Source organism: Homo sapiens, chromosome X, assembly GCF_000001405.40.
Source record: "Homo sapiens chromosome X, GRCh38.p14 Primary Assembly".
Classification (NCBI taxonomy): Eukaryota; Metazoa; Chordata; class Mammalia; order Primates; family Hominidae; genus Homo; species Homo sapiens.
In genome coordinates, this window is record NC_000023.11 from 85245619 (window position 1) to 85273557 (window position 27939).

Here is a 27939-nt window from a genome sequence, read left to right on the forward strand (position 1 = left end):
TTTCTAAAATAAGGTGTTGTTTGTGATTTTTAAGATGTGCTTTAGAGAAGATTTTGGTTTAATCAAGTGGTAGCATTCTAAGTATAATAACGTTGCTAATGTAGTGAGTAGTTGTTTTTGTTGGAATCCGTTGGGTTGCTTTTAACATTACTACAGATTTGAGCATATGAACCCTTCCCAGCCTCACTATGCAAGTTCAGGTGTAAAGAAAAATATTAAGTTGTGTAAGAAACTTAGTTTAAAATATTTTAAAGTATCTGATTTTGAATGTATTTTTATAATAGGTAAAGAGAGCGTTTTCCCAAAGAAAATAACATAGCACAGAAGGAAAAATAAAAAGAAATTGCTGCAGATTTTACTTTATGTGAGAAAATCTACAATTTCTTCGAGACACTCATATAAAGGTGACTAACAAATTACTTATTGTTTTATCTTATTTAACAGTTAAATAAAATTAAGTTTTTAAAAACATTTTCAGACATTTGTAGTTGTTCTATTAGTTATGTGGTAAAGAAAGTAATTACTCTAATTAAAATCCAAATAGTACACTGTTTTAAATGTTAAGAACATGTCCCTTTCAGATTTATTTTGTTAACACACAGGTAGTTTATTGTGAACTCTCTTGGCCTTGGACCTCATTTTGCATAATAGCAAAGCAGAAAACAATGGCATTTGAAAAAAGATACACAACTAAGAATTTCTAAAATTGTGAAGTTTGCTCATACATAAAGTAATTCTGTCTGAATCGTTTGTTATACAGAAATGTCACCTACTTCTGTAGCATATTTATGTATATACCTGAAATGGTGATAGGGGTTCCTCTGAGACTCTCCTGCCTCCTGAATACCAATTTAGCCATCCTCCTTTATTTAAGAATATATTAAGTTGTATTACGTGTCACCTTTCTGAAACTTTCATTAAGGTTGCAGCTTTATCTGTTGTGCAATATGGTACAATTTATTAAGCAGTCCTACGTGAAAAGGAGATAAGTGCCTTATAAAATTGACAGGTTTTTGTTGATTTACTTAGAATCTTATGTTTGAAGAGAAAATGCACATATATGTGTCTAAGAAATACATTGAGTGACAGCATCTGACTTTATGTTCCATACTATCAAATGGTCGTAAATATAGGATAAGTCATTTGAAATGAAATAGATTGAGCCCTTGCTTTCAAAACCACCTTGAAGCTAGCATAATTTTATTAATCACTAATAAAAAGTCAGTTGTACAATTACAAGTAAATGAAATGCTGAGATAAATAATTTGCTAAATGTTTGTATGTGATCGATCTTATTTTTACCATATTTAGGAAGCAGTCATGTTTCATGAGTCCTCAAAACTGAGACAAGAGAATGTAGTAGAGTGAGGCCAGAAGTCCTTACTGGTTCAAAGAACTCCGGGGAAACTGGGATAGAACATTTTACATTATAAGTAGAACCCTGGGAGCCAGAGGTGAATACAAGTTTATCTGCAGAGCTCCGCTGCAGGGCTGATCTGGGTCTGGAAGAAATGGATGAGAGCCAGTGGATGAAATTCACTAATACTAGACATCTGAGTCCTCTAGTAATGTATAAATATCCTAACTATTGTTTGTTGTCATCTCGTTCTTCTTTTATAACCTATGTTTTAACTGGAACTTTTAGCACTGCAGTTTTGTTGTTTTGCTTTCTTCTACCACTTCCCTATGGCTCATCAGCTTGACTGTGCCTTTGTCTCCATTATTTTTGGTTTACTTCCACTTGGCACTTCTTTTATTTATGGTTGTCACATAAAGCATCTAACCATGGTTTTTCTTTGTTTTGCTTTCTTTTGTAATAAGCTTTCCACACTTGGTTGAAAGGCATATTGTCAATTGCATTTTTTTCTCAAAACAACTAACTTTGGACTAAATATATTAAACTATTTTAAAAGCCATTTCTTTTGCAGATATTGGTGAATGAACTTTGCTAAGTATGGATTCAGGCGGTGGAAGTCTTGGATTGCACACGCCAGACTCTAGAATGGCCCATACCATGATTATGCAAGATTTTGGTAAAGCATTTTCTTTGTTGTATTTTTTTCTTTTTTAGAAGTAAGGGGATAATAAAAATCAAAAATAAGTTGAGGAAGGGGAGAATTACAATGAAAACTTGTTCTTTTACTAGGAAAATATATTTGTAGAGCTTATTCTCATAAAGCTGTGTGTCAGTGGTCTACTTAACATCACTTTTACAATTTAGGGGAAGGTTGTGTTAGGGACACTTGAAATATGGTGGTAATATGTTACTGGAAATGAAAAACTCAATTTACATAAATAACTGCATAATTATATCACATTCTGTTCTGATAGTATATATCAGCTCTCACGTGTAGGAAATGTTAAACTGACTTTCTAAAACACATTTTAAGTTGCATTGTTAATAAAATTGGAAAAAGAAGTGCTTACATCAACTAAAAAAAAGATGCTTATATAGTGATATGCAGAATCATGCACTAGGTGATTATTATTGTGATGCTATTTCCTCAGAAAGTTGTTACCATTAGAATACATTTTTCTTTCTCTTTTTTTTTTTTAAAAAAAAAAAAGAGGCCGGGCTTCGTGGCTCATGCCTGTAATCCCAGCACTTTGGGAGGCAAAGGCGGGCGGATCACGAGGTCAAGAGATTGAAATCATTCTGGCCAGCATGGTGAAACCCCGTCTCTACTAAAAGTACAAAAGATTAGCTGAGCGTGGTGGAGCACGCCTGTAGTCCCAGCTACTCAGGAGGCTGAGGCAGGAGAATTGCTTGAGCCCATGAGGCGGAGGTTGCAACGAGCTGAGCTGAGATGGTGCCACTGCACTCCAGCCTGGTGACAGAATGAGACTCAGTCTCAAAAAAAAAAAAAAAAAAAAAAAAAGACTCCTTACTCTTGTGGCCAGGTTTGTAAGTAGCCTCTTGACAGTAGTCATTTTGATGAGGATGCCAAGACTCCATTGACATTCAACAAATAAACTGAATTTGGCCAGGGATGATCTGAATTACAGAGGAGATAGAGCTATTTGAAGTATAAAAGGCAGGGATGAGATCAAAAGAATTGAAGATAAGATTGGAGTGAAAGCAGAAAAGACAAATGGTGAACTGCGATAAAAGAACAGGGAACGAGGTAATATGGAATTGTTGAAGCTGAAATTAGTGATGAGGGAATAGAACTGTGATACTTTGCTAAGTTAAGAAAATGCTACTATTGTTCGTTGATAATATGGTTGAATGTATCATTTGGTCCCCTGTAGTAAATCCCACAGTAACGGAAGTCAGTAAAGCCGTATTCTAGTCATGGCAGTGCTGTTAACTAGCTGTGTAAACTTGGATAAATTACTGAATTCCCTTTTATAATGATTGCACTAGATAACATTTAAGGTCCTCTCCAGTTATAGAATTCTTTGACGTTTCTTTCTGATGAATAAAGTTGAGTAGTACAATATTGGATGTGAGTTAATTGATGAAATATAAAGAAATCGTGGATGTATTCTTCTGAAAGCTAAGTGAATTGTGTTGACTATGGATGATTTAGAAATGACTTTGGGTGAAAAAAACTCATCAATAAATTCTAGAGGAAGGATAATAGGGCCAAAGAGTAAGAGATTAAAGATATTCCCATGAATTCTTTAGTAGAGAGTTGATAGTTTTTAGAATAATGGAACACTGGAATTTCAGTATGGTAAATAAATTTTGGTTGAAATGTCAACTTTAATTTTTTACCTTTTAAAATAAGATATTTTTAAAATGGAAGTATTATAGTAGTTTCTCCATTTAATACAAAATATTACCTCTCCTATAGCATTTGATAAAGTGCCAAAACTCACTTCATTCCTGAAGAGGTTGGCTATTAGCTAGTAAAGTGTGATTCCTTTCAAAAGATGAAAAAAAAATCTGATTGGTGCTGGTGAATATTTACATAATGTTCCTTTTAACCTTCCTTTCCATTGTTTATCCTCAATGTCTTTAGAATTAATTACTCCTTTATTACATCTACTACTTTTTTTCTTTTAGTTGTTAGGGGAATAGAATATGCATATTGAAATATTTAACATATATGTTTTTTCTTCTTTACTTTTTATTCAGATACATTCACATACCATTCCATTCATCCATTTTTATAAAGTATACAATTCAATGGTTTTTAGCATATTCACAAAATTGTATAACCATCACTAGTACCTAGTTTTAGAACATTTTCATATCCTAAAAAAAGACACCTCATACCCATTAGCAGTCATTCCCCATTCTGCCTCTCCCCACCAGCCCTAGGCAGCCACTAATCTTTGTCTGTGGATTTAATTATTCTGAACATTTTATATAAGTGGAATCATATATGGTCGTTGTGTCTGGCTTCTTTCACTTAGCATGTTTTTAAGTGTCATCCATGTTATAGCATGTATCAGTACATACTTCATTCGTTTTCACTGCCAATGATATTCCATTGTATGAGTACACCACATTTGGTTTATTTGTTTATCAGTTGATAGATATTTGGGTTGTTGAAATATTTTTAATCCACTAGAAATATTATGTGTTTGACAAAATAAGCTTTGCATCTTAGATTGAAGTATGAGTGCCTTTGGAGGCGTGTGACAGTATGCCAAGGCATACCTGAAACCACAGAATAAATAGCAGAGCCTCTTGGAATTTTTTTTTCATTTGAATTGAGGAGAATATATATACACACATATACCTATACACAATTATAGCTGCATAAATATGTAGAAAGTAAGATTTTCGTTCACTATCCCCTCCCTTTTTAGAAATAATAAAATTGAAAGGTTTGTGAACTACTTCTAATTTTTAATTAGTATTTTCATATTATCATTTAAAGCCCTCTCTAAAATGAATTTAATTGAGTAAACTGATTTGTATCAGAAAAATGTTTAAAGGCACTTATTGTTGTTTTTGTTGTTATATACCTGTTTATGATTTAACTGGTAGTATTTTGAGTTAGTGGTTTTTTCAAATGATGCATTCTTTTTAAATTTCATTTTTATGCTCTCTTAAATCAAGGTATATAAATCAATGGCAGTTAAATTACTTTTGCATTTTTGGTGAGACTGTTTTTCTGAATTTGCTATTAGATCAAGAGTAACTAATATGGGTAATGCTCACTCATTTGTGCCTAGGGATAATGTTGACTTGAAATATGTTAAGTTTCCATTTGTCCTTGGTAAATTCTGAACTCGTAAAAGGCAGTAACTCACTCTATTTTTGATATGCAGTTCCCAGCACAATTTCATTTATAGGCATTTTCATTTTTGTATGATATTTTGTGAAATGCAAAGGTTGTCAAACAGACCTAAACCTAAAAAGACCTTTATTAGGGGACTTCTGGAAATTTTAGCCCTGATAACTTAGATTTCTTCTGAAAGCAGCCCCCCCATGCTTATTTTACCTCCCTGTTAAAATTTCTAAATTCTAAAATTTCATTAGAAATTAGATACATTCTCTTTAAATTCTGTTAGCGTCAAAACTTAGATATTTGCAGCCCCATAAATTATTGACATTTGTGAAACTTAGAGTTTAACATACACAGAGCTAACCAAATAAGAACACTGTGGCACAAGATCTCCAAATTCTGTAAGGTTCTTGGTTGATACAATACAGAAAATCTGAAACATTAATTTAATGCATAATTCATTGGACCAATTTATTTTGAAGAATATTTGAGACTTAGAAATTTACAACTTTGTTCAATAACCTTGCTGGTGTCTCAGTATAATAGCTGTCCTTGAAGTATGAGATTGAATTTAATAGTTGTTTAAGATTTTAATGCTACAAAAAGTCTGTGTTGTTTTAGGATATAAATAGCAAAACACCCTTAGATAGTGGCCCAAGACAGACCTGACACGTAACAGATTTTATGCTGTCATTCTGGTGATGTTCCAAGTATTCATATTTAAATGGAATAACTTTAATAAAATGGGAAATACTGGAAATCAGGACATGTTTCTTACTGTTGCCTGATTATTTAATTTTATACTTTTTAAATGATTTTTTCTTATTGTTTATAATTTTCTAAGCTAGTAAGATGAATTATTAACGCAATTTAATGCTGTTTACGAAATGATTTAAAATTTAAATGAGCTACCACGTGATAGGCCATTTTACTGTTTATCTCAAGCTGTTCCTCTAGCTGTGCCTCACTTAGTTAATCTTACACCTCTCTTTAAAAAACAGTATCTAGGGTAAATATACTCTAACCTCTTCCCAGGCAAGTAGAAAAAAGGCAGTCTGGAGTCAAACAGTGAGTTCAGTTTCCAGCTAGGACCTTGTGGCAACCTTATATAACATCTGTAAACCATAGTTCCTCCTTATTTAAAATGAGGATAATCGCACTCACCTTATACAGTTGTTCTGAGGATTAAATGAGATGATACTTGTATTAGCAGGTTGCTTGTTGGATAGTCAGTGCTTAATAAATATAGCTAATCTATAGCTAAGTGACTTTGTTTAGAAAGTCAGTGGAATCTAACAGATGAACTGGTAAGAAGAACAAGCAAAATTTAATAAGAGATATCTTGGATCTTGGTCTAAGTAATCTGCTGCTACCCTGTGAGGGACTTACCAATTCTTGGTCTAGGATCCTTGAGAGCATTTGGTTCAGGATAAACAAACATATTTGGATTTATTTATTTAGTTTTTTAGATCTGATCTATTTTGACTTGTAAGTTCCTGCTAGAGGCTAAGTGAACTAGCACTGTTCCTTCAGTCTATCCTCTTAGAATCCACCCAACCAGGTTGATCTGAAACCAAGTCCCCACTAGCATTATTCTACCCTTCTTTCCTTCCCTATGGTCTACTTTCAAGAACCAGACTAATCTTCAGCAGTGTTCTAAAATAAATGGAATTTCCCATATTTTAAATCTTTGGTTTGTGAAAAGATTTTTGTGAATTAGTAATTTTATTGTTTAGATATATAGAATTCCAGTACAGTTAATTTTACAGGATTAATATTTTAATTTTTTCCTTGCTAAAAAACCACATTTCTAGTCTGATTAAATGCTAAATTTGAACCCCCACCTCCTCCCCATTTCTGAAATGCCCAGTGGAGTAACAACTGAATTAAAAATACTTGTTTTATACATACTCCCTTCGTGTACCAGACTTCCAGGATTGTGGCTGTGTCCTTTTGGGGTAATTTAGTGGTTTGGGTGAGAGTTTGAGCGGTGAGAAGGATTTAAAAGGGTTGAAAGTAAAGTATCCCAAAAACGCTGTTGAAAGCTCAGCTTTCCCTTTTCACCTTGTTCTTTGATGTGTTAGTGTCCATTGGTCTCCATCCTAACTTGGTAACTAACTTCCATAATGAATTGATTAAAAATAATGAACACTATGTGACAAATAACACTCTTTCAGGTACTACTTTATAGAAAGTGATCAAAAGGTTTTGTACTGGATGATTTCTTGTAGATAATTTATTATAACCAGATCCACAAGCCCTCTTAATTTGTTTTTGTACCACCTCAGGGAGCAGAACTTAGCAGAATTCCTCATGAAGGGATTTTACACTTGTACAATATTTACAGGGCAGGTAGGAGTTGGTGTTTACCATGCCGCTCAAGAAAAACATTAAAGCTTTATTCCTACAGATTTACTATTATCAAACCAAATATTAGTCTAAGATGAGTACAGAGTTTTTCCCCCTAAATCAGGTGTTGAAAGATGCCTTCCAATTTTGGATACAGTAATTATTATAAGTTAAAGAAGTTCAGACACTTTCATGTTCATGATGTATATTTTATAATAGAATATTTTATTAACTCACTTAACATATTAGTATCCTTTTACGTTTTTGTGCCTTTTTATTTTAATTTTTTGAAACAATTATAGACTCACAAGCAATAGAGCAAAGGAGTACATACAGTCCATGTACCCTTTACTTACCTTCCTGTGATGGTGGCATCTTACATAACTGTAGTATAATACAAAAACCAGGAAATTGACATTCACACATTACTGTTAACTAGACTACAGACCTAATTCAGTTTTCACCATTTTTAACATATATTCGTGTGTGTGTATGTGAATGTATATATTCTATGCAGTTTTATCCCACATATAGATTTGTGTAAATACCACCACAATGAAGATGCAGAGCTGTTCTATCACTATATATATGCTATCCCTGTGTGTTCACAGACACACACACACACACACACACACACACACACACACAGACACCCTTGGCAACCAATAATCTGTTCTCCATCTCTATAGTTTTATTGTTTTGAGATAATATAAATTACTCCATTTATACATTATACAGTATCATAACCTTTGGTGATTGTCTTTTTTTCCCTCAGCAAAATTTTCTGGAGGAAATTCAGGTTGTTGAATATATCAACAGTGTGTTCATTTTTATTGCTGGGTAGTATTCCATAGTAGGGATGTGCCAGAGTTGGTGGAACCAACCATTCACCTGCTAAAGGACACTTGGGTTGTGTCTAATTTTTTGCTACTATGAGTAATAGCTACTATGAGCTGTTAGGAATATTTCTGTACAGTGTTTGGTATAAACATATATTTTCATTTTTCTGGGGAAAAATGCCCGAGATTGCAATGGTTGGATTGTATAGTAAGTGCATATTTAGTTTTGTAAGAAATCGCCAAACTACGGGTGGATCACGAGGTCAGGAGATCGAGACCATCCTGGCGAACACGGTGAAACCCCATCTCTACTAAAAATACAAAAAATTAGGCCGGGCGCGGTGGCTCACGCCTGTAATCCCAGCACTTTGGGAGGCCGAGGCGGGTGGATCATGAGGTCAGGAGATCGAGACCATCCTGGCTAACAAGGTGAAACCCCGTCTCTACTAAAAAAAATACAAAAAATTAGCCGGGCGCGGTGGCGGGCGCCTGTAGTCCCAGCTACTCGGGAGGCTGAGGCAGGAGAATGGCGTGAACCCGGGAAGCGGAGCTTGCAGTGAGCCGAGATTGCGCCACTGCAGTCCGCAGTCCGGCCTGGGCGACAGAGCGAGACTCCGTCTCAAAAAAAAAAAAAAAAAAAAAAAAAAAAAAAAAAAAAAATTAGCCGGGCGCAGTGGCGGGCGCCTGTAGTCCCAGCTACTCAGGAGGCTGAGGCAGAAGAATGGCGTGAACCCGGGAGGTGGAGTTTGCAGTGAGCCGAGATCGCGCCACCGCACTCCAGCCCGGGCGATAGAGCGAGACTCCGTCTCAAAAAAAAAAAAAAAAAAGAAAAAGAAAAAAAGAAATCGCCAAACTATTTTCGAGAGTGGCTGCTACTATTTTACGTTTGCACCAATAACGTTTGAGAAATCCAGTTTCTCCACATCCTCACCAGCCTATGGTGCTATCACTGTTTTTTGTGTTAACTGTTTTAATTGGAATGTAGTGATATCTCATTATGGCTTTTATGTTTTACTTGAAAATAAAGTATATTATTTTAAGGTCTTCATGTAGATTTTACTAACATCGTTTTCACCCAACTCTAACCCAATTCCTGGTTGTTGGTGATTTTAATTGCAGTTAAATTGTCAATGATTTTAAAAAATGATTTATTTGGCCAAGATTACTTAATATTTAAGAAATATTTATAGCATTTGATTTATTAAATACAGTACTCTAAATTAATAAAATAACTTTACCTTTTTTGGATAATTGTTTGTATTATAGTGGCTGGAATGGCTGGTACTGCACATATCGATGGAGACCATATTGTTGTTTCAGTTCCTGAAGCTGTTTTAGTTTCTGATGTTGTCACAGATGATGGGATAACTCTTGATCATGGCCTTGCAGCTGAAGTTGTCCATGGACCTGATATCATCACAGAGACTGATGTAGTAACAGAAGGTGTGATTGTTCCTGAAGCGGTACTTGAAGCTGATGTTGCCATTGAAGAGGATTTAGAGGAAGATGATGGTGATCACATCTTGACTTCTGAACTAATTACAGAAACCGTTAGGGTACCAGAGCAGGTTTTCGTGGCTGACCTTGTTACTGGTCCTAATGGACACTTAGAACATGTGGTCCAAGATTGTGTTTCAGGAGTCGACTCTCCCACAATGGTATCAGAGGAGGTTCTTGTAACTAATTCAGATACAGAAACTGTGATTCAAGCAGCTGGAGGTGTTCCTGGTTCTACAGTTACTATAAAAACCGAAGATGATGATGATGATGATGTCAAGAGCACTTCTGAAGACTACTTAATGATATCTTGTAAGTGAAACATAAAGCCCATAATTACTCAGGAGATTGATTTATATAATCTGGAAAAGTTTTCTGGGATGAGGGATATATTCAATAAAAGTTATAGGGGAATCTTTTTGAAAAATAATTTTTTGAAGCAGTGTCATTAAGATGCTGTTTTGAGTTTACTGATGTTTTTAATTTATTCAATGAAAATTCATACCTGAAATGAAGTAAAATAATGCAGTTTATTAGTATCTTAAAATAGAGGTATAGATTTGGCAACAACAAGAACATTAACTGATACAAAATTTTAATGATAAATATATATATTTCAACATGGGAACTTTCTTATGTAGCCACTGCTTTTTTTTAATATGACAGGCACTGAAATTGTCAATTAAGTTTTTCTTAGGAACTTAAGCAGAATATGTTAAGAAATGTATTGATTTTTAAATTAAATACTTGAAAAGTAAATCATAAACTCAGATAATGTCCTACAGTTCTCCCTGTGTTTATATTGCTTATGCCTAAATATGTGTGTGTATATTTTATGCAAAGCTATTTAACATGTTTATTTTAGACTGCTTTGCAAGATTCTTAAAACATTCTATCCGAAGCGGGAAGATAGAAATATTTTGTTCTCATTTTAAATGATGGGTTTATGAGAGCAGCAACAAAAATAAAAAATATCTTGATAAGTTATTGATGGAGCTTAAAGAAGTAGGTATATTAGTTATTAAATTTGAAGGGATCATGCTACAAGTAGTTAAGATTAGACAATTTTTTTTGACTTATCCAGGGAAGATTTTTATTCTTTTTAAAATACAAAAATGGTTGACTGGGAAGTTTATCACCAGGTAGAGTGTGTGTGTGTATGTGTGTATAAAGTGATCGTATGTATATGTGTATTAGTGAATTTAAAACTGAAAATAAACTAAATTTATTTAATTTGTGAATTTAATTGTAAAGTTTAGCATAACTTTTTTCTTCTATAAGCACTTTTGAAGGTGAATTTTTACATTGTTTTTAAGAAAATAATGTAAGCCACTAAAAGACTGCAAATATTGTTACCTATTTTTAAATAGATATAGATTACTAAAGCAACTCCATATTTACATCTTAACGTGGCATTTTTTAAAAGATCTATAGTATGGTTATCATGTAAAATGATGTGGCAAAAGTTGGTAGTCTACACTAAAATTCAGTATGTCTTCAAAAGAGTATTCATTAATTTAAACTGATATTAAAGTAGTGCAAAATTTAGATGTCATGTATTGTGAACAGTCATACCTTGTGTTATCTTCTATGATTTAATTCTGCAAAAGTTTTTTAAAAAAGTTTCTGGAATATTCTAAGTTAGAATAATTATTTTGATAACTACCTCATATATCAAATACAAGGACTCCTTTGAGGAATATAATTTTATTTTTTGTTGATTTGTTTGGTTTCAACTTTTATTTTAGGATTTGTACGGGTATGAATGATCCCATCTCCTAGGTACTGAGCATAGTACCCAACAGTTAGTTTTTTGGTCCTCGCCCCACTCCCTCCCTCCCACCTCTAGTAATCCCCAATGTCTGTTGTTGCCATCTTTATGTCCATGAGGACCCCATGTTTAGACTTCTCTTATAAGTGAGAACATGCAGTATTTGGTTTTCTGTTCTTGCATTAATTTGCTTAGAATAATGACCCACAGCAGCATCCATATTACTACAAAGGACGTGATTTCTTCTTTTCTTACGGCTGTGTAGTATTCTGTGGTGTATATGTACCACATTTCCTTTATCCAGTCCACTGTTGATGGGCACCTAGGTTGATTCCCTGTCTTTGCTATTGTAAATAATGCTGTGATGAACACACAACTGTGTGTGTCTTCATGGTAGAATGATTGTTTTCCATTGGATGTATACCCAGAGTGGGACTGCTGAGTTGAATGGTAGTTCTGTTTTAAATTCTCTGATAAATTTCCAAACTGCTTTCCACAGTGGCTGAACTAATTTACATCCCACCAACAGTGTTTAAGTGTCCCCTTTTCTCCACAGCCTCACCAACATCTGTTGTTTTTTTGACATTTTAGTAATGGCCATTCTGGCCATAATAAAAAAATAGTAGATGTTGGCATGGATGCAGTGAAAAGGGAACACTTTTACACTGTTGGTGGGAATGTAAACTAGTACAACCACTATGGAAAACAGTGTGGAGATCCCTTAAGGAACTAAAACTAGATCTACTGTTTGATCCAGCAATCCCACTACTAGGTATCTACCCAGAGGAAAATAAGTCATTATACAAAAAAGATACTTTCACATGCATGTTCATAGCAGCACAATTTGCAATTGCAAAAAAATATGGAACCAGCCGGAATGCCCATCAATCAACGAGTGGATAAAGAAAATGTGGTACACTATGGAATACTACTCAGCCATAAAAAGGAATGAAATAATGGCATTGCAGCAACCTAGATGGAATTGGAGACTGTTATTCTAAGTGAAGTAACTCAGGAACAGAAAACCAAATATATGTTTTCTCTCATATATGGGAGCTAAGCTATGAGGATGCAAAGCATAAGAATGATACATTAGACTTTGGGGACTCGGGAGAAAGGGTTGTGGGTGGTGAAGGATACAAGAGTAAACATTGGGTACAGTGTACGCTGCTCAGGTTATGGGTGCACTAAAATCTCATAAATCACCGCTAAAGAACTTATTCATGTAACCAAACACTACCTATTCCCCAAAAAGCTATTGAAATAAAAACATTTTAAAAAATAGCTTGTCAGTATGAACAAGCAAAATAATAATAATAATAATAATAATGATAATGGTCATTCTCACTGGTGTGAGGTGATGTCTCTGTGGTTTTGATTTGCATTTCTCTGATGATTAGTGATGTGGAACATTTTTTTCCTATGTTTGTTGACCACTTGTATGTTTTCTTTTGAGAAGTGTCTGTTCATGCCTTTTCCCCGTTTTTATTGGAGTTACTTGTTTTCTGCTTGCTGATTTAAGTTCTTTGTAGATTCTGGATATTATACCTTTGTCCGATGCATAGTTTGTGAATATTTTTCTCCCATTCTGTAGGTTGTCTGTTTACTCCGTTGATAGTTTCTTTTGCTGTGCAGAAGCTCTTTAGTTTAATTAGTTCTGACTTGTCAATTTTTGCTTTTGTTGCAATTGGTTTTGGGGACTTAGTCATAAATTCTTTCCCGAGGCCAATGTCCAGAATAGTGTTTACTAGGTTTTCTTCTAGGATTCTTATGTCTAGAGGTTTTATCTTTAAACTTTGGTCCATCTTGGCTAAATTTTGTATGGTGAAACATAGGGGTCCAGTTTCATTCTTCTGGATATGGCTTCCCAGCTATCCCAGCACCATTTATTGAATAGGGAGTCCTTTCCCATTGCTTACTTCTGTTGATTTTGCCAAAGATTAGATGGTTGTAGTTATGTGGCTTTGTTTATGGGTTCTCTTTTCTGTTCCTTTGGTCTATGTGTTTGTTTTTGTACTAGTAACATGCTGTTTATGTTACTGTAGCCTTGTAGTGTAGTTTCAAGTTGGATAATTGATGTCTCTGGCTTTGTTCTTTTTGCTTAGGGTTATTTTGGCTATTTCTTTCTTGGTTCCTTATGAATTTTAGTGTAGTTTTTTCCAATTCTGTGAAAATGACGTTAGTAGTTTGATAGGAATAGCATTGAATCTGTAGATTGCTTTGGGCAGTATGTCCATTTTAATGATATTGATTCTTCCAATCCTTGAGCATGGAATGTTTTTCCATTTGTTTGTGTCATCTGTGATTTCATTTATTAGTGTTTTATAGTACTCCTCGTAGAGGTTTTTCACCTCCTTGGTTAAATATATTCCTGGGTATTTTTTTGAGGCTGTTGTACATGTAATTGCATTCTTGATTTGGCTCTCAGCTTGGATGTTGTTGGTGTGTAGAAATGCTACTGATTTTTGTACATTGATTTTGTATCCTGAAGCCTTAATAAAATTGTTTATCAGTTCTAATAGCCTTTGGCAGAGTCCTTAGGGTTTTCTAAGTATAGAATCATATCATCAGCAAAGAGAGATAGTTTGACTTATTTTACTGTTTGGATGTCTTTTATTTCTTTCTCTTGCCTGATTGCTCTGGTTAGGATTTCCAGTACTATGCTGAATAGGAGTGATGAGAGTAGGCATCCTTGTCTTATTCCAGTTCTCAAGAAGAATGCTTCCAGTTTTTGCTCATTCAGTTCGATATTGGCTTTGGGTTTGTCATAAATGGCTGTTATTATTTTGAGATATGTTCCTTTGATGCCTAGTTTCTTGAGGGTTTTTATCATGAAGGGCTAATACATTCTGATTTTATCAAAAGCTTTTCCCATATCTACTGCAATGATCACATGGTTTTTGCTTGTAATTCTGTTTATGTGGTGAATCACATTTATTGATATGCATATGTTGAACCACCCTTTCATCCTTGGAATGAAACCTAGTTGATCATGGTGTTTTAACTTTTTGATGTGCTGTTGAATTTAGTTTACTAGTATTTTCTTGAGGATTCTTGCTTAAGGAACATAATTTTGTATAAAGCAAAATATCTTGTTAACATCATGATGGGAGATCTCATTCAAACCTCCCTAATTTCAGGGGTAAAAAAAGTTAACACCTTTATAATTTTAAAAACTATAATGACTTTTTTGAGATATAATTTACACATCCTTTTATTTACCCATCTGAAGTGTGCAAATAAGTGGTTTTTCATATATTCACAGGGTTGTACAACCATCACCACAATCAATTTTAGAACTTTTTCATCACCACAAAAAGAAACCCTATACCCTTTAGCTGTTAGCCCCCCCCCCATCCACTCTGAGGCAACCATGCCTGTATAGATTTGCCTATCCTGGATATTTCATATAAATGGAGTTATACAATATGTGGCATTTTATGTCTGGCTTTTTTTACTTCACATAATGTTTTCAAGGGTCATTCATGTCATAGCATATATCAGTACATTTGACCCTTGAACAATGCAGGGGTTAAGGGTGCTGAACCCCGCCCCCCCTGCTGACATACACACAGTTGAAAAGCCATATGTAACTTTCAGCTTACCAAAAACATAACTACTAACAGCCTACTGTTGACCAGAAGTCTTACCAATAACAGTCAATTAACATGTTTTGTATGTTATATGTATCATATTCTGTATTCTTACAATAAAGTAAACTGGAGGAAAGAAAATGTTAAAATCATAAGGAAAATAAAATATATTTACTATTCATTAAGTGGAAGTGGGTCATCATAAAGGTCCTCATCCTTATTGTCCTCACATTGAGTAGGCTGAAGAAGGAGAGGAAGAAGGGTTGGTCATGCTGTCTCAGAGGTAGCAGAGCAGAAGAAAATTCATGGATAAGTGGACCTGCACAATTCAAACCTATGTTATTCAAGGGTCAACTGTACTTCATTCAGTATTACTAATAACATTCCATTATATGGGTATTATCACATTTTGTTTATCCATTCATCCATCAGTTAATGGACATTTAGGTTGTTTCCACTTTTTGGCTATTATGAATAATGCTCCATGAACATTTATGTACAAGTTTTTATGTGAGTGTATATTTTTAGTTTTCTTGGGTATATACCTGGGAGTGGCATAACTCTGAAATCTAAAGGTGACTATCTTGTTGTTCACTTTTTCACTCTATTGTGAAATACAGATTCTTTGTATATTGCCTAATCCCATCACTGTGGTATATCAGTATACTGTATAGTTTTTATACCATACTCACCATATAATTTTGGTAGATGTAAGTAACATGCAACAGGTAAAATAAAAAGCCTACCTAACTTTTAAAAAGGAATGTTATATTGTACATTTGACTAAAATGAAATTTTAATTAAATTGTGTGAGTGGGCCATAAAATAATATTGAATGTTACCAAACTTTACAGTGTTGGCAAACAATGCACTTCACTTTCTTATATTATATTTAGTGCCAGAAGAATTCTGTGGTGGTTATTTTATTACTTATTGCTGGATTGAGAAACAACACTATTGGACTTGAATATTGCATACCTTACAACAAGCAAAACATTTAAGCTTGAATTTAAGGTATTTTGAGTATTATCTGCATTTAGAAGGGCCTTTGGAGATTTATTTCTAAAGTCAGTTGATTGCCTATTAAGTCTTTGTTAATTTCGTACTTTCCATAACGAAGGATATAGAATAAATCTTGGTCAAGTTGATGGTTTACCTCTTAAAACTGCGTGCCAATATCTTTAATAATTTTATCATTTTCTGTGAACTTAAAATACAGAATAAGTTCAGTTAGTACATTTCAAAATTGCTCATTCTGAGGAATCTAAGTAAAAATTAATGGATGCATTAAATTTAAAAGTATGAACCTTAAGAAAAGGTAGAAATGGAATCAGAGAGAATAGTATTAGTAATTTCATACTTATTGCTAAAATTATGGTACAAAACTATTAAGAAGTGGTGAAAAAAATGTGACTTTCATTTCATGAACTTTAATTTTGTGAATTATAGTTTTAACTCAGCTTATCCCAGAAGGAACTGTGATCGCTTTAAACTATTCATGTATAATAAAGTAGAATTTATAAAATGAGAGTATTTTTATTATTTTATTAATTTACCATAAGTTATTTCAGCCTAAAAGTTTGTATTTTGGACACTTTTTGAAGTTTTTTTATATTCTGTTTTTAATTAATGAGAATATAGTTTTTTTCTAAAAACTTACTCATGATTTTTTCTATGTCATTTTTATTCAACATTATTTTATAAGAGAAGCTATTAAGCCAGTAATATCAAATACTTAATCTTTTTTTATTTTAATTTGTACCATTGTCAAAAATGTTGCCAAAAGTTTAGTAATATAATTAGGAGCTCTGATGGAATGAAAATATGTAGACTTTATTTTGATCATTTGGATGCTATCTTTCATAGACAGTAAGCTATTAAAATTTGGAAGTAGGATAGAATCATTTGTATTTAATCACAAAGTTAAAGTAGCTCTGCAATGTAAAAATAATTTTTAATATGTGTTGTTTTCCACTATTTTGAAAGGCCTAAGGAATATTTTTCAAGTTGTATGTATCAAGTTTGAAACTAAAGTAAGGAAAATCTAGACTTTGACCCATTTAGATCTTGCTAAAATTGTTTTTAGGAGTGCTGAATTAATAGCTTTTTAATGTCACTTTATTCTGTTTTTAATGGTTCTAGAATTGTTAGATGTATGTAGGGGCTTCAAAATTTGATGTTTCATATTTAGTACTGTTACATATATATAATAAGGAGGAGTAGATTTTCAATTTAGATTACATTTGTGTTTTTATAGGAACAGCATTAAAAGAATAAATTATAGGCATATAATATTTAGGAGGCATATATTGTTTGAATATTATTTATGGTCAGAGGACAGAGTTTATTAATCTATTCATTGCATAGTTCATGCATAGTATTCATGTGAACTTAAATGTTATCCTAAAAGACTATACAGTGGAGAATCAAAAATTTTAAGTGTATTTAAAATGTAAGCAATAGGTCCAAATACTGTTGCCTTATCTTTATATATGATTTTCTTTTAATAAGGAAAAAGAGGGGGAAATACCCATTTATTTCCCTTACATATAATTTTGAAATAAAGCATACATTGCAAAATCTAGATATATACAAAATTCATGGCTTGAAGTTGTCTTCCATTGACCCTGCAGAAATTAGAGTATTTACTAAGATTTTATTTCCATGATGTATGAAAACCTGTTTTTATAGTCACTTAGGTGTTCTCTGTGTTTCTTTTTTTAATCCTAGATCTTGTATGCTAATTTGTTTTAGAAACAACCACTATTTAATTTGGGAACTGTAGTTTATGTGAACTCATTTTATGAGTAATATATGTTTTATGTTCTTAATTTTTCTGTTATTAAATTTAGTGTTAGGATTTACCTTAAAATATTGAAAGTGATAGAATTTGAAGCCGTTTTAATTAAAGCTATATGGTTAAGTATTTTGTATCTATTAATTGAAATCTGTAAATAGATTTTTATATAATTGCGATTATGTAATATAACTGATCTTGTGTACTGTTTTTCCATGAACCTTGATGCTTTTTTAAATTTTAAAAATAATTTTATTGTTGCAGATTTATGTTGCACAGGTACAGGTTTATTACATGGATGTAATATTGTGTAGTGGTGGGGTTTGGGCTTCTAGTGTACCTATCACCTGAATAGTGAACATTGTATCCAATAGATAAATTTTCAAACCTCATAATCTCCTCTCCCCCCACCTTTTTGAAGTCCCTAATGTCTATTATTCATGAATCATAACACTTTTAATGGCTTCATAATAGGTTATTAAGTGAATACAGTGGGTAGGTGGTTAACATTATTTCACGTTACACTTCAGCTTAACACCCACTAAATAGTGGTAATTTTTCTTGTTTTGTTGTTTTTTGTCAATGGTATTTTTTGACTGAAATAATTTTGTTTATATTTTATAGTGGATGATGTTGGAGAAAAATTAGAGCATATGGGGAATACACCATTAAAAATTGGCAGTGATGGTTCACAAGAAGATGCTAAAGAAGATGGGTTTGGTTCTGAAGTTATAAAAGTGTATATATTTAAAGCGGAGGCTGAAGATGATGTTGAAATAGGTACAAACACTAATTTTAATTTATTGCTCCAATAGGAGTTATAATTTATTATATTTTCTGGGGACTAGTCTAAAAATGTTCTCAAAGCATGGGTTTTTTTAATACGTTTTCTTTGGGAATAGTCTACTTTTAAAAATTGTATATGAATATAAAGCAGGAATGCAGAATATGTCATTCTTTGATTCTTTCAAGCATGAGTAGAATACTGCAGCAGAAAATATCAAAACAAATGATTGGAGAGGATTTGGTTTAGATTAAGAAACTATAATGAGTGTTTACAAGCATGGATTCTAGAGGCAGGCTGCTTGGGTTTTAAATAGGTCCTGTCACTTAGCTGAGTGACCTTTGATAAATTACTTAACCCCCTTCTGTCTGTTTCCTCATCCATAAAATTCTCATAATAATAAAAGCTACCTATAGGGCTGTTGTGAGGGTTAAAGGGGTAAATATGTATAAAAGACTTATATACTGCTTGGCATATAAGCTTGATGTAAGGATTAACAATTGTCATTTCTCAGTGATAGCTGAAAATTTAAAGTATAATTTATATGAAAATGTTCTTGGCACTTTGAAATTTATTTTGGAATTTATTTTTTTTCTAAGAAATATTTCTATATATTCTTCTTATTAATTTAGGTGGTTATTCCATGATACTTCTCTATTTTAATGCGTGTTTTAATTTTTAAGGTGGAACAGAAATTGTCACAGAGAGTGAGTACACCAGTGGACATTCAGTAGCTGGAGTGCTTGACCAGAGCCGAATGCAGCGGGAGAAGATGGTTTACATGGCAGTTAAAGATTCTTCTCAAGAAGAAGATGATATCAGTAAGAAAATAAGGGCACTGTAGTGACTTATCAGTAGCCATCATGCATTATTTTTAAAAAATCTCAGAGATACAAGCACTGTATAGGAACAAAGTTCAATAAAATAAGCCTGATCCTTTGACCCTTTGCTGTAAATAATTTAAAAGTGAAGGGTCCTTTTGACCATTCATTTGTACATGTATTGTTCAAATCACCAAACATTAAATAATATATCTTAGTATACTATACTAGAAATACAGAGATGAACAACATACAGCTCCTGACATCAGTGAAGCTCAAAAATATGTAATTACTGAGTACCTACTTTCTGTGCGTTACTGAATATGTTGCAAGATACTATCTCATTTAATTCTTACAACTCATATCTGAGGTAGGTGGTATTTTTCCTGTCTTATGGAAGGAAAAAAAAAGATTCAGGGAAAATAATTTATCCAAGATCATTCCAATATTAAGTGTGAAGGGCAGGATTTTAATGGTTATCTAACTCCACTGCCAATGTTCTTTCCACATGGCAGTGGGCACTGTTGGCTTCTCTCTGGATTTAGCAATTGAAGGGCTGATGGTTTGTTCTCCTGTCACTAAAGGGTTATCTTATGTAAGTATTCTTCCAAGCCAAGCTGCCAGGAGTTTGATTTCCTATGCTGTTGATGGTCTCCAAGCAGTTGCTGCTTAAGGTTTTGTGGGGCTAAGTACCACAGGACGATCAAACCTCCTCAGGTTTCCTTTCCTGCCATACCGCAGGTTTCCTTATGAAGACATTTTGCTCTCTGCCTACTTTCTCCTCACCTCAGTATAGGAATGCAGCCCTTTCCTAAGGCTATTCCTGTCTTCTTACTATGCTGAGAAAAACACAATATTGCCTTGCCCTAGAAGGCTAAGAGCCTCCATTTCACTGCATTAACTTGACAATATTGGGCTTTACCTGTGCTGCACTCTGATACCTACTCCAAGTTTCCTTCCCTAGAAGTTGTAGGGTGCTGAATTCCACCCCCAAACAGCTGAAAATATCAAAACAAATGAGTGGAGAAGATTCTGATGGATAGGAAAAGAGTTTAATCAAATAATTTCTATTTGATCTCTAAATTCTTTATTTTTTTATTTATTGGTAAGGAAAGGGGCACAGTAGGAAATGGAAGATTGAGGTTTAAGTTAACTTATGCCAGAATTCTATGGGAATGTGGGAAACTTAGACCAGTGTCTCTTTTTGGTTAATAGAGAGAAGACAAACTTGGGAGAAGAGGGATACTTTTTTCCCATGTTTTTCCCCACATTTCTTCTGTAGTCATCCAGGATCCCAGTATGTGAATCAAAGGAAAAGCAAAAATTCAAGACAATTTTCTATTTAACAAGTTAAATGTAAACAGATTATTTTATATAAAGTATATTGTGGCTCTCTAGGTTTAAATATTTTTTTTTTCTTACCGCAATATTGTTTTGTTCAATGAAGCTCATTTAATGCTTTCTCTCCTCAGTAGAATCTCTTAAAATCTGGCCTATTGAAGAGTGTCCACATATTCTTGATCACTAGCATTATATACATATATAATTTTTATTTTTATTTTAAATTTTTTTCAATTACAAGTATTTTTGGTGATTTTTATTACATGTATAGTACTGCATTTCATTTATAATACAGTATACGAGATAGTATGGACCACTTTCTAGTATTATTTCTATGAGAAATATTTTCTGAGTCCCAAAAGACTGTCAGGCAAATAAATGTATAATGCCTGATAGAATGTAAGATCATTCAGTATATTTCAAGCGCACATGTTTTTATAAAATTTTTAAAAGCCATTTCCATAGAACTTGGTTCTAAGAGGAGAATAAGAGTTTTGGTAAATGATTGTCTCCTAGTGGCACTAGCCTCCAAAAGTGCCTAATATAAATTGAAATTAAATTTATAAATTTTTAAATTAACCAAACTGAAATTTGAAAGTTGAAAGATTTACATTGTTTGGAATTTTTACCCACTTATTAAATATTTGGGGTTATAAACAAGCAATTATTTCTAAAATTTAGGTTGCGCTGAAATAGCAGATGAAGTTTACATGGAAGTCATTGTAGGGGAAGAGGAAGGAACTTCTCTCCCTGAGATTCAGCTTGAGGACTCTGATGTTAATAAAACAGTTGTCCCTGTTGTCTGGGCTGCGGCATATGGTAGGATACTGGCATTTTTTCACCTGATAAGTACATAATATGTATTTACTCAGCCTTTAGGCCATTAAATAAGCTTTGTGAATGCCACCATGAATTGGCTAATATAATAAAATGTTTTACACTGTGGACTGATTCATCTCTAGTTACTTTAGATGATTTTTCTACCACATACCTTGTACTATTTAAAATGAACCTTGCTTAATGCATTATGTTTTTCAGTATGATCTATTTTAAATCCTACCTGTATAAGTGAGTGCCATAAAAAATTTTATTTTTCTAAAATAGGAATATCCTTTGAAAATCGATCCTTCCTCTTTTGGAAAAACTTATTTCATTTATTAACTCTACAGATGATAAAGTTTTGGGGTTTTGAAAAAGAAACAGAAACCCAGGTATGCTCTTTTAGAAAGCATATAATGAAAGGTAAATTTATCAACTTATTTTTCCCTTTCAGTCTTATTTTATTTCATTCCTATGTAACGTACAAGATGGTCCAGGTATACTCTTTACTTTGAAAAATTTTGATGTTCAAATGCATTAATTTATCTAAACTTGGTTCTTCCAAAGGTTCATTCATTCAGTTATTTATTGAGCATCTTCAAAGTTAGGGGTACACTGCAGAAATATCTACCCAGTTTTCATTTAAAAAGTAAAATTGTTCTAGATGTTAACAATTCCAAGGATGCTGAACAGCAGCCCTTATTTTCAGTATGTGACATTATCTAACCTATAGGAGTGGAAGAACACAACAATTTTTTTTAACCCAAGGAATGGTGGGCAAAGTAAGATTTTGTAGATTAAGATGTGATCCACTAGTAGTCATTATAATTAGCATATCAGTTTGTAATTGGTCTTTTTTTTTTTTTTTTTTTTTTTAGGAGATGAAAGAAGAGTTTCCCGAAGGTATGAAGATTGTCAAGCATCAGGTAAGAGAGCATTGTATATGAGATGTGAGTTAAAGTTCTGGCTTTATTTTATTTTACTGCTTGGTAAGTAACAAGTTTGTGTCTACAGACACATTTGTTGGACTCTTACTTGCTTAGTCATACCTAATCTAGTTAGTTAGGAGTTTCTTCTTTGAGGAATTAATTTATGTGTGGACATAATGTGTGTTAATCTGTAAATGCAGTTCCATTTAGATTTCCCTCAAACTTTAAGCATCAGGCAGTTTATCAAATGGACCATAACAGGTTGCTATGGAAAAAATGAAATAAGAAATTATTTGGACAGAAAAGTAAAAATTATTCATGATATCAACCCCTTGTTAATGTTCTTTTTGGGGCAGAACTGTTTTCTTAATTTCTATGGCAACCAGTGCATTTATATATAACTGTTATATAAAACCCATGTGTCAGCTTAATTTTTTTTAGTTTTAATACACTCTATATGGTGTTGTTCTCTAGTTGATCTTCTTGTTAAGTTTTCTTAAGCAAGGAGATATTTTCTTATGATAATGTGTCATTGTTCTGTTTCTACCCTTGGGAAGTATTTGACTCTCTAAACTTAGGTGTTGATTTCGAGAAATTGATGAGAAGTATAGATCACAGCATGTAAGTTAACCTGACAGTTTTGTAGGTCTACATTTTTTAGCTAAATTGCATAAAACCACAATGGATTTTTGATAACTAGGATTTTATTAAGTACTTTTTAATGTATGCACTGATCACACTGAAATTGCAATAAATTGCCTACCATATGTTAACCCGTAAAATCAATCTTAATATGTAGTACTCTTTATATCAAGTACACTATTCTGAAGCATATCTGCAAGAGATCTGTTTCGTTTTTTATGCATTACACTTAGTCACCATAACTATAATGGTTCAGTAATATGTCTACATTTCTTTTTCAATTAATTTCATCAGCCTTCATTGGTAAAAAAAAATTGGTCTGATGCCAAGATTTTGTTTCAAATTCAGTTTCTTTTCTTTCTTTTTTTTCTTTTTCTTTCTTTCTTTCTTTTTTCTTTTTTTTTTTCAAGAGACAGGGTCTTCTTGCTCTGTTACCGAGACTGGTGTGCAGTAGCACAATCATAGCTCACTGCAACCTTGAACTCCTGGGCTCAAGCAATCCTCCCATCTCAGGCTCCTGAGTAGCTGGGACTACAGGTGCATGCCACCATGCCTGACCAATTTGTTTTTTGTAGAGACAGGATCTTATTATGTTGCCTAGGGTGGACTGAAACTCCTGACCTCAAGCAGTCCTGCCTCAGCCTCCCAAAGTGCTGGGATTACAGGTGTGGGCCATCATGCCCACCCCAAATCCACTTTCTTATATTACATTCATCTTATCAGTTTATTCCTGATAAAATAGAGATATTTTAAATTTAATTGATGATCAAATTGAGATATTTTAAAGTTAATTTCACATGATATCCTATTCAAAGTATTTACAAATACATGTCTTTACTTGTGAGTGAGAGAGAACAAGAGTGAGAGAGAGAAAGAGAATCATAAGATGGATATACTTTGTGAAATTTACTACCAGAGTGGTAACTTGGTGTCATGTCATCTGTAGTAACTCATTCAACAGAACCAAAAAAGTATAAATGTATGTGATTTAATGATGTTTCAATTTTTTTTTCCAGGAAATACTTTGGACTCAGCATTAGAAAGCAGAAGTAGTACAGCAGCACAGTACCTTCAAATTTGTGACGGCATTAATACAAATAAAGTACTTAAACAAAAAGCCAAAAAGAGGAGAAGGGGAGAAACCAGGCAGTGGCAAACAGGTAAATACTTTGCTTTATGAATATTATAATTATTTGAGATGTGGAAGTATTTTTTGTCACCAAAGAAAAATATCGATGGTTTACTTGGCAGTTCTACTCTCCATGTACCTGTTTGTGTATGCTATAGATAATTGTTTTTTTTTTTTTTTACTTTGTGTGACTGGTACTTAATAAAACTATGCTTGTTTGCTCTTTATTCCAAAGATACTTTTACAGAGAATTTTCAGGTTGGTTTAACAATAAAGGGTACCTGTTTTTGGTATTCAAAGTATATATGATATTGCATTTTGGCATGTGAGTGGTTCATAGTAGAGTGCTGCTCATTACTTTTTAGTGAGCTACTTTGCCATAAATTGCTTTTATTATGTATTTTTTATATTACAGGATTTCATTCAACTAGTATTGTTTTCACATAGTGAATGCCAACTAGTTTTGGCACCTTTGTTATAAAATCCTTTAAAACAGTCTGACCAAATGTCACAACTTTCTCTTTTCTTTATCTAGCTGTTATAATAGGTCCTGATGGACAGCCCCTCACAGTGTACCCTTGCCATATTTGCACAAAAAAGTTTAAATCCAGGGGATTCTTAAAAAGACACATGAAGAATCATCCTGATCATTTAATGAGAAAAAAATATCAGTGTACAGATTGTGACTTTACAACTAACAAGAAAGTGAGTTTCCATAACCACTTAGAAAGCCATAAGCTCATAAACAAAGTCGACAAAACCCATGAATTTACAGAATACACACGAAGATACAGAGAGGCTAGTCCACTGAGTTCCAATAAACTTATTTTAAGAGACAAGGAGCCGAAGATGCACAAGTGCAAATACTGTGACTATGAAACTGCAGAACAAGGACTGTTAAACAGGCATTTGTTGGCCGTTCACAGCAAGAATTTTCCTCATGTTTGTGTTGAGTGTGGGAAGGGTTTTCGACATCCTTCTGAACTCAAGAAACATATGAGAACCCATACTGGTGAGAAGCCATATCAGTGTCAGTATTGTATTTTCAGGTGTGCAGATCAATCAAATCTGAAAACTCACATTAAGTCTAAACATGGTAACAATTTGCCATATAAATGTGAGCATTGTCCCCAAGCATTTGGTGATGAGAGGGAGCTTCAACGCCATCTGGATTTGTTTCAAGGACATAAGACACACCAGTGTCCTCATTGTGACCATAAGAGCACCAATTCAAGTGACCTTAAGCGGCACATCATATCTGTCCATACTAAGGATTTTCCTCACAAATGTGAGGTCTGTGATAAAGGTTTTCATCGTCCTTCTGAGCTCAAAAAGCATAGTGATATCCATAAGGGTAGGAAGATTCATCAGTGCAGGCACTGTGACTTTAAAACATCCGATCCATTTATTCTTAGTGGCCATATCCTTTCAGTTCATACTAAAGATCAGCCATTGAAATGTAAAAGGTGCAAGAGAGGATTCAGACAACAAAATGAGCTAAAAAAACATATGAAGACCCATACTGGAAGGAAGATTTACCAATGTGAGTATTGTGAATACAGCACTACAGATGCATCTGGCTTTAAACGACATGTGATATCAATACATACAAAAGACTATCCACACAGGTGTGAATTCTGCAAGAAGGGATTCCGAAGACCATCAGAAAAAAATCAGCATATTATGAGGCACCACAAAGAGGCTCTTATGTAATAAGATCAATATAAAGAAAGAAGCTATTTAGGAGATATGATATGCTACTTGGGAGAAAACTCTCACTAACTGTCTCACCGGGTTTCAAAGCTTGATACTAAACCATGACTTTACATTCTTTGTATTAAAGATCTTAAAATATTTGAATTCACAGGGGATCCCATAGCCCTTTGAAAATTACTTAAAGAATTTAAGAAGCACTATAGAATGGTTACAGAAAAACTTCTTAAGTATCTGTGTAATAGTATTATATGCATACTTAAACTACAGAGGGGAAAAGCAAAGACAAATACTTTATTTGGCTGATTATGTTAGATACAAATGTTTCTGAGAAGAGAATACATAATTGAGTTTAGTGATGCTTTGCTATAGCAAGCAAACCCACTTTTATGCAATTTTAGAAATGGGGCAGGGAAACAAAATGTGGTCATTCATCAGTCACTTAGTCATTGAGCCTTTTATATTGTACCTGGAAATTAAATTCCAGCAATGACAAAAGTTTTGTGTATTCATTAAAAGAAAACTAACTGGAAAACAGGTTAGATTAATTCAGTACTATTAAAAAAGAATTCAGAGCTGTTAATATTTTATCACAGGATAGGATACTTAAAATATAGCATTCTGTGCTGAGATCTAAGGTGAAGTCTATAAAGATTAAAGTTCCCTTTTTTCTGATGTTCAAGTTGATTGTTGTTCAGTATGGCATATATGACAAAAGTATATTTGAGTCAAATGTGGCTTTCTAAAATGGATGCAACATTAGCGTTGCAAACAAAATCAGCACTATATTTCTTAATGATCTAAAGATTAATTTGAGAGAACACAGTTTTCTTAAATATTATAATGTCTAGAGTTTTTTTAGGACAGTCTTAGCAAGTATGATTGTTCTAGTCTTACTTGCTCTAATGTTTAAAGGTGCAATTTTATGCCATTATTGAAATTGATTTTTAAAATCTATATACCATATGATTAACATGCATTTTCAATATGAGGCAGTGTTTATGCAGTATTTAACAGAGCAATCTGCTGCCAATAGAGTTTGGAGGTGGATATTTAGTTTACAGTGTATAAACTTAAAATATGCATCCCTTTAACAACGCTTTGTGTTAGCATGCTGCAAATCAAAATGGCACTTAATATTAAAAGCTGGTTTAGGGAAATTTTATGAAAATCCTGTTCATAAATGTAATGCATATGATATGTACTTTTAAGTTTTAGTTGCTTCATGTTTACATTCAGCTGTTCAACATAATTAAAATGTAATTTTACTTCATGCTATATTGTGGCTTTGTGTTTCAAATAATGTTCACCTTTCTGTTTTTGCACCAGATAAGAATCAGTTCCTTGAGAATAAATTTTTTATCTTTCTTAACTTCAGAATATTAAATTTGGAATATCTACTAAAATTGTGTGTTATGTGGCTGTAAATGATGTACACGCTGTAAAATAAGATCGCTACTGTTATGTGGGATTATTATTTCTAAATGTTACTCATTGAAATGAGCATACAATAAAAAGCATTTATTGCACTTAATGGTTTTATAAGTTTATTTAAAGTTTCCATATTTTTTATTAAAAGACTTCACTTCAGAGTTACTTAGGCAGATTGGTCCTTTCTTTAATGTCTTGTTGAATTTTGTTCATGAACAACAACATGAACTAGGAATTTAAACAGTTACGATGACTATGTAATGCATATTTCTTAAGAATGTATGTTATTTGCTAAAAT

The 27939-nt window shown here is 33.2% G+C and overlaps 1 protein-coding gene across 26 annotated transcripts in view; it reads left to right on the forward strand.

The window, feature by feature from the left end:
- ZNF711 (zinc finger protein 711) overlaps positions 1-27739 on the forward strand; it is a 29367-nt gene extending 1628 nt beyond the window's left edge. For 2 of the 26 annotated variants that reach the window (NM_001375433.1, XM_047442464.1), the window contains exons 2-10: positions 285-404; positions 1312-2033; positions 9641-10183; positions 18657-18812; positions 19500-19637; positions 21660-21797; positions 22676-22723; positions 24385-24528; positions 25033-27739. In NM_001375433.1, the coding sequence (NP_001362362.1) occupies positions 1955-2033; positions 9641-10183; positions 18657-18812; positions 19500-19637; positions 21660-21797; positions 22676-22723; positions 24385-24528; positions 25033-26210 (2424 nt within the window). In that variant the 5' untranslated portion in view covers positions 285-404; positions 1312-1954 and the 3' untranslated portion in view covers positions 26211-27739. Of the gene's footprint in view, positions 1-284; positions 2034-9628; positions 10184-18656; positions 18813-19499; positions 19638-21659; positions 21798-22675; positions 22724-24384; positions 24529-25032 lie in introns of those variants that run through there. The other 24 variants (NM_001375437.1, XM_047442468.1, NM_021998.5 and 21 more) reach the window with 22 other exon arrangements.